Source organism: Homo sapiens, chromosome 13, assembly GCF_000001405.40.
Source record: "Homo sapiens chromosome 13, GRCh38.p14 Primary Assembly".
NCBI classification, from domain to species: domain Eukaryota; kingdom Metazoa; phylum Chordata; class Mammalia; order Primates; family Hominidae; genus Homo; species Homo sapiens.
In genome coordinates, this window is record NC_000013.11 from 80,185,314 (window position 1) to 80,198,110 (window position 12,797).

A 12,797-nucleotide genomic window follows, 5' to 3' on the forward strand; every position below is an offset into this window, starting at 1 on the left:
GACCTCTCCCCTCCTCGCCAGGCCGAGCCAGGTCCCAATTCTTCCTCAGCCTCTGCTCCCCCACCCTATAATCCTTTTATCACCTCCCCTCCTCACATCCAGTCCAGCTTACAGTTTCATTCCACGACTAGCCTTCCCCCACCTGTCCAGCAATTTCCTCCTAAAAAGGTGGCTGGAGCTAAAGGCATAGTCAAGGTTAATGCTCCTTTTTCTTTATCTGACCTCTCCCAAAATCAGCTGGCGTTTAGGCTCTTTCTCATCAAATATAAAAACCCAGCCCAGTTCATGGCTCTTTTGGCAGCAACCCTGAGACGCTTTACAGCCCTAGACCCTGAAAGGTCAGAAGGCCATCTTATTCTCAATATGCATTTTATTTTATTACCCAATCTGCTCCTGACATGAAATAAAGCTCCAAAAATTAAATTCTGGCCCTCAAACCCCACAACGGGACTTAATTAACCTCACCGTCAAGGTGTACAATAATAGAGTAGAGGCAGCCAAGTAGCAATGTATTTCTGAGTTGCAATTCCTTGCCTCCACTGTGAGACACACCCCAGCCACATCTCCAGAACACAAGAACTCCAAACACCTGAACCGCAGCTGCCAGAGCCTCCTCCCCCAGGAGCTTGCTACAAGTGCCAGAAATCTGGCCACTGGGCCAAGGAATGCCCACAGCCCGGGATTCCTCCTAAGCCATGTCCCATCTGTGTGGGACCCCACTGAAAATCGGACTGTTCAACTCACCCGGCAGCCACTTCCAGAGCCCCTGGAACTCTGGCCCAAGGCTCTCTGACTGACTCCTTCCCAGATCTTCTCGGCTTAGCAGCTGAAGACTGACACTGCCCGATTGCCTCAGAAGCCTACAGGACCATCACAGATGCTCTAGATAACTCTCACAGTGGAGGGTAAGTCCTTCCCCTTCTTAGTCAATACGGAGGCTACCCACTCCACATTACCTTCTTTTCAAGGGCCTGTTTCTCTTGCCTCCATAACTGTTGTGGGTATTGACAGCCAGGCTTCTAAACCTCTTAAAACTCCCCAACTCTTGTGCCAATTTAGAAAACATTCTTTTATGCACTCTTTTTTAATTATCCCCACCTGCCTACTTCCCTTATTAGGCCAAGACATTTTAACTAAATTATCTGCTTCCCTGACTATTCCTGGACTACAGCTGCATCTCATTGCCACCCTTCTCCCCAACCCAAAGCCTCCTTTGTGTCTTCCTCTCGTATCCCCCCACCTTAACCCACAAGTATGGGACATCTCTACTCCTTCCCTGGCAACTGATCACATGCCCATTACCATCCCATTAAAAACTAATCACCCTTACCCCACTCAACACCAATATCCCATCCCAGCATACGATTTAAAAGGATTAAAGCCTGTTATCACTCGCCTGCTACAGCATGGGCTTCTAAAACCTATAAACTCCCCTTACAATCTCCCCATTTCACCTGTCCTGAAACCAGACAAGGCTTACAGGTTAGTTGAAGATCTGTGCCTTATCAACCAAATTGTTTTGCCTATCCACCCCTTGGTGCCAAACCCATATACTCTCCTATCCTCAATACCTCCCTCCACAATCCATTATTCTGTTCTAGATCTCAAACATGCTTTCTTTACTATTCCTTTGCACCCTTCATCCTCATCCCATTTGCACCCTCGCTTTCACTTGGACTGACCCTGACACCCATCAGGCTCAGCAAATTACCTGGGCTGTACTGCCGCAAGTTTTCACAGACAGCCCCCATTACTTCAGTCAAGCCCAAATTTCTTCCTCATCCGTTACCTATCTCAGCATAATTCTCATAAAAACACATGTGCTCTCCCTGCTGATTGTGTCCAGCTAATCTCTCAAACCCCAGTCCCTTCTACAAAACAACAACTCCTTTCCTTCCTAGGCATGGTTATTGCCGTCAGAATTCTTACACAAGAGCCAGGACCGCACCCTGTAGCCTTTCTGCCCAAACAACTTGACCTTACTGTTTTAGCCTAGCCCTCATGTCTACTTGCAGTGGCTGCCACTGCTTTAATACTTTTAGAGGCCCTCAAAATCACAAACTGTGCTCAACTCACTCTCTACAGTTCTCATAACTTCCAAAATCTATTTTCTTCCTCACACCTGACGCATATACTTTCTGCTCCCCAGCTCCTTCAGCTGTACTCACTGTTTGTTGAGTCTCCCACAATTACCATTGTTCCTGGCATGAACTTCAATCTAGCCTCCCACGTTATTCCGGATACCACACCTGACCCTCATGACTGCATCTCTCTGATCTACCTGACGTTCACCCCATTTCCCCACATTTCCTTCTTCCCTGTTTCTCACCCTGATCACACTTGGTTTATTGATGGCAGTTCCACCAGGCCTAATCGCCACTCACCAGCAAAGGCAGGCTATGCAATAGTATCTTCCACATCTGCTATTGAGGCTACCGCCCTGCCCCCCTCCACTACCTCTCAGCAAGCCGAACTAGTTGCCTTAACTCAGGCCCTCACTCTTGCAAAGGGACTACGCGTCAATATTTATACTGACTCTAAATATGCCTTTCATATTCTGCACCACCATGCTGTTATATAGGCTGAAAGAGGTTTCCTCACTATGCAAGGGTCCTCCATCGTTAATGCCTCTTTAATAAAAACTCTGCTCAAGGCCACTTTACTTCCAAAGGAAGCTGGAGTTATTCACTGCAAATGCCATCAAAAGGCATCAGATCCCATTGCTCTAGGCAACGCTTATGCTGATAAGGTGGCTAGACAAGCAGCTAGCTTTCCACCTTCTGTCCTTCATGGCCAGTTTGTCTCTTCACATCAGTCACTCCCACCTACTCCCCCGCTGAAACTTCCAACTATCAATCTCTTCCCACGAAAGGCAAATGGTTCTTAGACCAAGGAAAATATCTCCTTCCAGCCTCACAGGCCCATTCTATTCTGTCGTCATTTCATAACCTCTTCCATGTAGGTTACAAGCCGCTAGCCTGTCTCTTAGAACCTCTCATTTCCTTTCCATCCTGGAAATCTATCCTCAATGAAATCACTTCTCAGTGTTCCATTTGCTATTCTACTACCACTCAGGGATTGTTCAGGCCTCCTCCCTTTCCTACACATCAAGCTAGAGGATTTGCTCCTGCCCAAGACTGGCAAATTGACTTTACTCACATGGCCCGAGTCAGAAAACTAAAAGACCTCCTAGTCTAGGTAGGCACTTTCACTGGATAGGTAGAGGCCTTTCCTACAGGGTCTGAGAAGGCCACCGCTGTCATTTCTTCCCTTCTGTCAGACATAATTCCTCGGTTTGGCCTTCCCAACTCTGTACAGTCCGATAGTAGACCGGCCTTTATTAGTCAAATCAGCCAAGCGTTTTTTCAGGCTCTTAGTATCCAGTGAAACCTTTATATCCCTTATGGTCCTCCATCTTCAGGAAAAGTAGAACAGACTAATAGTCTTTTAAAAATACACCTCACCAAGCTCAGCCACCAACTTAAAAGGGACTAGACAATACTTTTACCACTTTCCCTTCTCAGAATTCAGGCCTGTCCTTGGAATGCTACAGGGTACAGCCCATTTGAGCTCCTGTATAGATGCTCCTTTTTATTAGGCCCCAGTCTCATTCCAGACACCAGACCAACTTGGACTGTGCTCCAAAAAACTTGTCATCCCTACTGTCTTCTGTCTAGTCATACTCCTATTCACCGTTCTTAACTACTCATACATGCCCTGCTTTTGTTTACACTGCCGGTTTACACTGTTTCTCCAAGCCATCACAGCTGATATTGGTGCTATCCCCAAACTGCCACTCTTAACTCTTAAAGGAAATAAATAATCTTTGCTGGCAGGACTATGCTGAATCTCCTTAGGCACTCTCTAATCAGATGTCCTAGGCCCTCCCAATTCTTAGACCTTTAATACCTGTTTTTCTCCTTCTCTTATTCCGTTTAGTTTTTCAATTCATACAAAACTGTATCCAGGCCATCACCAATAATTCTAAATGACGAATGTTTCTTCTAACAGTCCCACAATATCACCCCTTACCACAAAATCTTCCTTCAGCTTAATCTCTCCCACTCTAGGTTCCCACGCCGCCCCTAATCCCGCTTGAAGCAGCCCTGAGAAACATCGCCCATTCTCTCTCTCCATACCACCCCCAAAAATTTTCGCCGCCCCAACACTTCAACACTATTTTGTTTTATTTTTCTTATTAATATAAGAAGGCAGGAATGTCAGGTCTCTGAGCCCAAGCTAAGCCATCTCATCCCTGGGGACTTGCACATATACGCCCAGATGGCCTGAAGTAACTGAAGAATCACAAAAGAAGTGAAAATGCCCTGCCCCGCCTTAACTGATGACATTCCACCACAAAAGAAGTGAAAATGGCCGGTCTTTGCCTTAAGTGATGACACTACCTTGTAAAAGTCCTTTTCCTGGCTCATCCTGGCTCAAAAACTCCCCTACTGAGCACCTTGCAACCCCCACTCCTGCCCACCAGAGTACAACCCCCCTTTGACTGTAATTTTCCTTTACCTACCCAAATCCTATAAAACGGCCCCACCCCTATCTCCCTTCACTGACTCTCTTTTCAGACTCAGCCCACCTGCACCCAGGTGATTAAAAGCTTTATTGCTCGCACAAAGCCTGTTTGGTGGTCTCTTAATACGGGCGCGCGTGAAACCCAGGAGGCAGAGGTTGCAGCGAATTTATATTGCACCACTGCACTCCAGCCTGTGCAACAAGAGTGAAACTCCTTTGCCAAAAAAAAAAAAAAAAATTGCTGATGTGGCCTTTTCTAAGGCAATGCCACTGTGGGTAGAGAAGAAGCATTTTTCCAGGTAAAGTAGGATTTTATGTCCAATTAGATAAGGAGGAGTAAAGAATAATTGGGAGATTCAGGGAGCTTCAGGGCTCCACGCAAATTTGATACACTTGAAGTGATGATACAGATGTTAGGTCATATCATCCTTGGCCTACTGCTCTGTGCGTTTCCTGAGACCAGGTTTCCATCTTAGTGAAAGTCTTAAACCTTGTACAGTCATGCATCACTTAATGACAAGAATATAGTCTGAGAAAGGCATCCTTAGGTGATTCTGTCATTGTGCAAACATCAGAGTGTACTTACACAAAACTAGATGGGATAGCCTGCTACACACCTAGGCTACAAAACTGTATAGCACATGACTGTACTGAATACTGTGGGCAATTGTAATACAATGGTGTTGGTGTATCTAAACATATCTAAACGTCGAAAGGTTTAAATACAATATTATGATCTTACGTGACCACTGTCACATATGCAGTCCATTGCTGACTGAAATGCTATGTGGTGCCATCACTGTACATGATTATGTCAACTCACTGCTGATCCACCTTGTTCTTGTACCACTGCCTACCCTCTGCACAGGACAAGGCACCTCTATCTTTGGAGAGGGAAATGTCATTAAGAATAATAGGGAGTAAGAGAGAAGGATTTGAGAGGCAAGGTGTAGTGAGGAGAAGGGAGACAGATGCTCTTTGTTTTAGCTATGCCCTGTCTCTAAAGTCAAGCACCAGTTCAAATGGAGACGGGGCTGACTTACCAGTGACTCTATGGACAATGTGATTGTATGTCTCTGAGTCTCACCTCCAATCTGAGCCTAACCTTTGTGCTGATTAGCAATTGATATATTGGAGTCTCGGACTTTGAAAGACCAAAGTGTATGTTCAAATAGCAAGTGCAAATTCAGTTTTGGCCATTTCATATAATTTATGTTACTATAATGACATAAATCTAAACGGAATATTCACAGAACCATTTATTTGTTTTGTTTTTTGCTTTTTTGTTTTTGTTTTTTTTTTTTTTTTGAGATGGAGTCTCACTCTGTAGCCCAGGCTAGAGTGCAGTGGTGCAATCTCGGCTCACTGCAACCTCCGCCTCCCGGGTTAAAAGGATTCTCCTGCCTCAGTCTCCTGAGTAGCTGGGATTACAGGCATGCACCACCACACCCAGCTAATTTTTGTATTTTTAGTAGATATGGGGTTTCACCATGTCGGCCAGACTGGTCTCAAGCTCCTGACCTCAAGTGATTCACTCGCCTTGGCCTCCCAAAGTGCTGGGATTACAGGGGTGAGCCACTGCACCTGGCCTGAACCATTTATTTGTTACATTGATATTTGAATAATAAAGTGACAACTCTTCTCTTTTATTTTCAGTCTCCCTCCCAAGCAGCTCTGAGGGTACATGGATAACACTTATAATCTTACAATCTGTGATTAAGTCAATAAATAGTCAGTGTTTTTAGCAGTCTATCTCATTTTTAAACAAAATGGTAATTTCTTACACATATTTATTTTGGATAGTGAAGTATATAACTCACAATTGATGGAGTAGAAAGTAGAGAAATTTCTCAATGTTATTATTTCTTTTGTATGCACAAAGTGACTATTTTATTTCCCTCCTGCTGAGGCATACTTCTTCCTTCCCCAAAGGAGAAATGATCATAATATATTACTTTCCCTCTTTGGACTTACTCTTAAGTATTATTTGATTCAGTTCCCATGCTAATCCTGTGATAGATGGAACAATGCTATTATTCCCATTTGAAATAAGAGAGAGTAAGAATTTTATCTAGAAGCAAGTGATTGGGGAAAAATTGGAACCAACACAAATATTTAAACTTAAGGTAGCAGTCCACAAATGATGATGATCCATTTATTGGAATACTACACAGCCATTAAAGAATAGTTCATAGAAACATATTTGTCACTAATGTGTATTTGATATTGAGAGACAGGACTAGCTGGATTTCCTAGGCCGACTAAGAATATCTAAGCCTAGCTGGGAAGGTGACCACATCCACCTTTAAACACAGGGCATGCAACTTAGCTCACACCCGACCAATCAGGTAGTAAAGAGAGCTCATTAAAATGCTAATTAGGCAAAAACAGGAGGTAAAGAAATAGCTAATCATCTATCGCCTGAGAGCACAGCTGGAGGGACAATGATCCGGATATAAACCTGGCAACGACTACCCTCTTTGGGTCCCCTCCCTTTGCATGGGAGCCTGTTTTCACTCTATTAAATCTTGCAACTGCACTCTCTTCTGGTCCGTGTTTGCTATGGCTAGAGCTGAGCCTTCGCTCGCCATCCACCACTGCTGGTTGCCATTGTCGCTGACCCACCGCTGACTTCCATCCCTCCGGATCTGGCAGGGTGTCTGCTGTGCTCCTGATCCAGCGAGACGCCCATTGCCACTCCGGATCTGGCTAAAGGCTTGCCATTGTTCCTGCACGGCTAAGTGCCAGGGTTCGTCCTAATCGAGCTGAACACTAGTCACTGGGTTCCACAGTTCTCTTCTGTGACCCATGACTTCTAATAGAGCTATAACACTCACCGCATGCCCCAAGATTCCATTCCTTGGAATCCCTGAGGCCAAGAACCCCAGGTCAGAGAACACGAGGCTTGCCACCATCTTAGAAGCAGACTGCCTCCATCTTGGGAGCTCTGGAAGCAAGGATCCCTGGTAACAATATGGAAAAATGTTTTCAATATATTGCTTAGTAAAAGCACAGATTATAAAATTATATGTCCAGAATGCCCTATCTTGAAAATATTCACTTATGTATAGGTATATATGCCTAGAAATAAATACCTGGAAAGGTGTATTGGGAAATGAGACAATAGAGCAAATAGATTAAGAACATGAGTTTGCCATAAAACAGATTAAACTATAATATCCAACTTCACTACATAATAATTTACTGCTTAATTTTAAATTAGTTACTTCTTCACCCTAAGCCTATGTTCTACCTTGTAAAATAGAGATAAAAGTATGATCCCCTTACAACAAGGTAATACAGTGAGGATCTAGTGAGATAATGCATGTAAAACCTTAAGACTAGTTTTCAGCACGTAGCAATCTTTTAATAAACTTTGCAATGTTAACATATATCCCTGGGTCACTGGTTATGAATGATTTTAACATTGCTTTCCTTCTATGCATTTTCTTATTCCTTAATATGGCTTTGAAACTTTTATCTTGTTTTGACATTGAAGAACACAATCAGAATGAGAACTGTGCATCTTGGCTCTGAGTGTAGTTTTATTTCCATATCATCCTGTATTGTTCAAGTGCAAATATGACTAGGGGCCTGGGCAGTGATTAAGAGCTTGGCTTGGGGAGACAGCTTGCCTGGGTTTTAATGATGACTCCACCATTCTATCTGTGCAACATTAGGCATGTTACCTTACTCCTATAAGCCTCAGTTTGCTCATCTTTAAAATGGAGATAATAGTAATCCTATTATACAATTATTAAGAGAATGGAATGAGATAAGACATGTATAGTGCTTAGTTGAGTGTTTGGCATATAGTAAATATTCAATCGAGGTTACTATTATAGTATTTATCTGCGTCTGTGGATGAACCATGGGAATCTGTGCACCTTCTGAAAGTCTAGGCAGAATTTAGTGTGCATATGATTACAGTTTTATATTTGCATATTCAGATGTCAAGGTGAATATTCAATGATTTTTCTTTTTCTTTTCTGTTTTTTTTTTTTTTCTTTTTGAGACAGAGTCTCACTTTGTCGCCTAGGCTGGAATGCAATGGCGTGATCTCGGCTCACTGAAACCTCTGCCTCCTGGGTACAAGCGATTCTTCTGCTTCAGCCTCCTGAGAAAATGGGACTACAGGCATGAGCCACCATGCCTGGCTAATTTTTGTATTTTTAGCAGAGACAGGGTTTCACCATATTGACCAAGCTGGTCTCAAACTCCTGACCTCGTGATCCGTCTGCCTCGGTCTCCCAAAGTGCTGGGATTACAGGCGTGAGCCACCACGCCCAGTCATTAATGATTTTTCAAAATGTTTTGTGCACCCAGAAAAAGCTAAAAGCCATCGTTCTTAACAGTGGTATCCACAGGGGAATGGACATAATTTTCTCTTCATTTTAGGATAGTCAAGTGTCACTACATTAGGTTGTGCTTAAAAACACAGAGTCCTGGCCGGGCGCAGTGGCTCATGCCTGTAATCCCAGCACTTTGGAAGGCCGAGGCCAGCAGATCACAAGGTCAGGAGATTGAGCCCATCCTGGCTAACACGGCGAAACCCCGTCTCTACTAAAAATACAAAAAAATTAGCTGGGCGTGGTGGTGGGTGCCTGTAGTCCCAGCTAATGAGGAGGCTGAGCCAGGAGAATGGTGTGAACCTGGGAGGTGGAATTTGCAGTAAGCCGAGACTGCACCCCTGCACTCCAGCCTGGGCAACAGAGCAAGACTCTGTCTCAAAAAAAAAAAAAAAAAAAAAAAAAAAAAAAAACACACAGAGTCCTGTGAAAATCTAATAAAAAGCAAAAATTAAATGTATTAATCTTTGCATCATCCCAGTTACTTGTAGGCCCTGGGCAGATGTGTCTGTGCAAACTTGCACGTCTCCTTCCAGGGATCCTCATTTCCTGGACCTTGTGGCCTCGTTCCCTTTAATCAGAGAGTTTCTTTTGGCAGAAATGGCTGAAGCATGCTGCACAGAGGTCTTAAGGGTTTCCAGAACCCCGGCCTGGGGAATTTTTACGTAATTTCAAATATTATATAATTCAGGGTTTAAATAGCTTACGTTTTGATTCCAAAAGATGTCTAAAGTCTGTTGAGTCTCAATTTGAATATTGTAACATTATTTTACCCACTGGTAGAAAAAACAAATTTTAGAAACTGGCTTATATAGCTTTTTGTCTATGAACTGGATGCTTCCTCATGTCCTGCTGCTAAGTTAGTCTTAGTTTTCATAAGGATGCACTTAAACGGAGGGTAAGCAGCATCCCGGATATTTAAGTAACCTAGACATAATTAAATGTATGTATTCATGAGCTTCTCTATTTTCACTTTTCTTAGGATAAAGCCCAAACCCCATAGCATTTATTAGAACACCTTTCTACCTTATCCCCCACCACTATGCCACATGCAGATCACCACTCCCCCAGCCACCTCCAAAGCTCCAACTCTGAGATTCTTCAATATGCTCTATGCTCCTTCTTGCTTCTGGGTTTCTATACATATTCCCTCTGCCACGAACACCTTTTATTCCTTTGTCTCACCCCACATTCAACACAAAGCAGTGACTCCTATTCATGCACAGGTCTCCACTTAGATATCACTTCCTCAGGAAAGTCTTCCTAACCCCAAGTATGACCTCTCTCCTTGTCTGGATCTACACTAACCTATAAATAATGATGGCAGGGTCTGTGTCTAGGCCACAGTTGCACATGCACCTATTATAGCACTTCATGTCATTTTAGGAATCCAAGGAATGAATAGTTATTGGATGAGTTATTTTTAGCTACTTATTTTCCATTGGTTCTTTGCTGGTTAACAACATTTCTGGTGGGAAAGAAAGAAAGAAAGAGAGACGGAGAGGGAGGGAAGAAGGAAGGAGAAAGAGAGAGAGAGAGAGAAAGAGAGAGGAAGGAAAGAAAGAAAGAGAAAGAAAGAAAAAGAAAGAAAGGGAGAGAAAAGAAAAAGATGGTGAGAAGGAAAAAAGGGAAGGAGGGAGGGAGGATGGGAGGGAGGGCAGAAGGAAGGAAAGAGGGGTAAAGAAAGACAAGTAAAGAAAAAGAAAAGAGGAAGGAAGGAAAGAAGGGAGAAAGGAGAAAGAGAGAGGGTGGGATGGAGAAAGGTCAGTTATGTACGAGATTGTTTGGTAAGCAGGACAATTCCTTTTTGAAATATTAGGCATGAATTCCATTAAATTGTACACAATTCTTTCAATGAAAGAATCAAGTACCATTAATTCATCTTTGCTTCTCATATATAGAATCACAATTCTATAACTAGCTATACTGGTTATATTGAATGTAACAGACTTCCAAGTAAAAATGATCAAATAAATAAATTTTATATTTTATTTATGTACCTCAGAACTATTGTATAAAGTCTTTGAAGAATAGATTGATATTTCTTCTCCATTGAGGACTATTTTTGAAGAGTCTGTACCATACATAAATGTGTTCATATATATAATTTTTTACAGCTGTCTCATATTTGAAAGTGAACCATTTCCTTTCAAAATTAGACATCTATTCAAGACAGAAAACTATTTTTAGTGGTAACAGATTTTGGAGTTATTCTAAAGCACTATTAATGCATTATTGATGCATGACTTGTGAGAAACTATACAAGATTGTTGAAAACGCCAAATATCCATTTCCAAGTATAGGCTTTCACAGAACACAGCCTTGCTTTTATTACTAATGACACTTACATTCATCACTGAGACTTTTAAGAAAGTGCCTTTTGAGGAGATCTATGGGGCTTGGGAGAGTATTTCTTTATTGGGAGTTTAAAAATGGAGGGCTTAGTAAGTCCATTAATATAGTTCTAGGACTAGGGACATATTTTAGGTAAAATTGTGAAAAATTGTAAATTGACTTTGGTGCTCTTGCACTTCTCTTCTGCAGATTTAGTGTCTCTCCCAAGCGCTCAGGGCTTCTGGATTCCACTCCAACCCTGCCCCTGGGACCACCTCCCCCAGCCGTGATCACATACTTCCCCTCTCCACAGCTAGTCCCTCAGAGTCAAAGCTGATGCCCAAAAAAGAGCTACCACTCCTTATCTCCCACCCCTGTAAAGACAGTAAAATTGTACCAGTGACACTAGTAGTGTCCAAGTGAGTCATACTCTCATCAGTTCCTGCCACCGCAGCAAGCACAAAGACTATGAGAATGAGACAGAAACTGGCCTCAGTTACAGGGATCTTTCCAGGTTCTGGCACCTCAAATTTGTTCTCTGAAGACCTTTTTCCTACTTCAGTCCTATATTTTTCTCTAGGTTCCTTACTGCTCCCTTGGACTTCAAGTCACCAGTGTTTGGGTCTATTTCTTTCTATCTGCTTCCCGTGACTCTGACGATACTAGATATTGTCATTTGCCCCTTCTGTGCATGTCTCTCTGTTCCTGTCCCATGGCCTTAATCAAACATCTGGACTTTATTTCTCAACCCTTGAATTACACCTTGGCTATCAATACTTCCATTTTTATCCTATTTTCCTTATTAGTAACAGAATTAAGATTGATTCCTTGCCCTATAAGCCACACTGATTACATTAGGCCAGCTAATTTGATGACCTAAGTTTTCTTTTTCTTTTTTTTTAAAGAGATGGGGTCTTGTTTTGTAACCCAGGCTGAAGTGCAGTGGGGCTCACTGCACTTCATGGCTCACTGCAGCCTCAAACTTCTGGGCTCAAGTGACCCTTCCACCTCAGCCTTCCAAGTAGTTGAGACTACAGGCACATGTTACAGCATCAGCTAATTTTTTTTTTTTTTTTTAATTTTTCAGGCTGGGTGTGGTGGCTCACGCCTGTAATCCCAGCACTTTGGGAGGCCAAGGCAGGTGGATCACTTGAGGGCAGGAGTTCGAGACCGGCCTGGACATCATGGTGAAACCCCATCTCTTCTAAAAATAGAAGAATTAGCTGGGCATAGTGGCACACGCCTGTGGTCCCAGCTACTAGGGAGGCTGAGGCAGGAGAATCGCTTGAACCCAGGAGATGGAGGTTGCAGTGAGTCGAGATTGCACCACTGCACTCCAGCCTGGGTGACACAGCGACACTCTGTCAAAAACAAAAACAAAAACAAAAAATTTATAAAGATGACATCTTGCCATCTTGCCCAGGCTGGTCTCAAAGTCCTGGGCTCAAGCACTCCTCCTGCCTTGGCTTCCCAAAGTGTTGGAATTACAGGCATGAGCCACGGTGCCCCACTAGCCTGACTTTAATATTTTCATGAGGCAATGCTTCAATGCTAACCTCCAATATAATTTCATGCATATTTTCAGGA

At 43.0% G+C, this 12,797-nt stretch overlaps 5 annotated features.

Moving 5' to 3' along the window:
- Nucleotides 4,132–5,125: an enhancer, noted in NCBI's record as "NANOG-H3K27ac hESC enhancer chr13:80763580-80764573 (GRCh37/hg19 assembly coordinates)". NCBI's record gives its function as "activates a minimal SCP1, AML or CMV promoter by ChIP-STARR-seq in naive H9 embryonic stem cells {active_cell/tissue: H9 hESC(naive)}" and the evidence as "EXISTENCE:reporter gene assay evidence [ECO:0000049][PMID:30033119]".
- Nucleotides 6,686–7,186: an enhancer, noted in NCBI's record as "H3K4me1 hESC enhancer chr13:80766134-80766634 (GRCh37/hg19 assembly coordinates)". NCBI's record gives its function as "activates a minimal SCP1, AML or CMV promoter by ChIP-STARR-seq in naive H9 embryonic stem cells {active_cell/tissue: H9 hESC(naive)}" and the evidence as "EXISTENCE:reporter gene assay evidence [ECO:0000049][PMID:30033119]".
- Nucleotides 6,686–8,076: a biological region, named in NCBI's record as "MED14-independent group 3 enhancer GRCh37_chr13:80766325-80767524".
- Nucleotides 6,877–8,076: an enhancer, noted in NCBI's record as "MED14-independent group 3 enhancer chr13:80766325-80767524 (GRCh37/hg19 assembly coordinates)". NCBI's record gives its function as "activates an origin of replication core promoter dependent on BRD2, BRD4, P300/CBP and CDK7 cofactors, and independent of MED14, by STARR-seq in HCT116 cells {active_cell/tissue: HCT116}" and the evidence as "EXISTENCE:reporter gene assay evidence [ECO:0000049][PMID:35650434]".
- Nucleotides 7,187–7,687: an enhancer, noted in NCBI's record as "H3K4me1 hESC enhancer chr13:80766635-80767135 (GRCh37/hg19 assembly coordinates)". NCBI's record gives its function as "activates a minimal SCP1, AML or CMV promoter by ChIP-STARR-seq in naive H9 embryonic stem cells {active_cell/tissue: H9 hESC(naive)}" and the evidence as "EXISTENCE:reporter gene assay evidence [ECO:0000049][PMID:30033119]".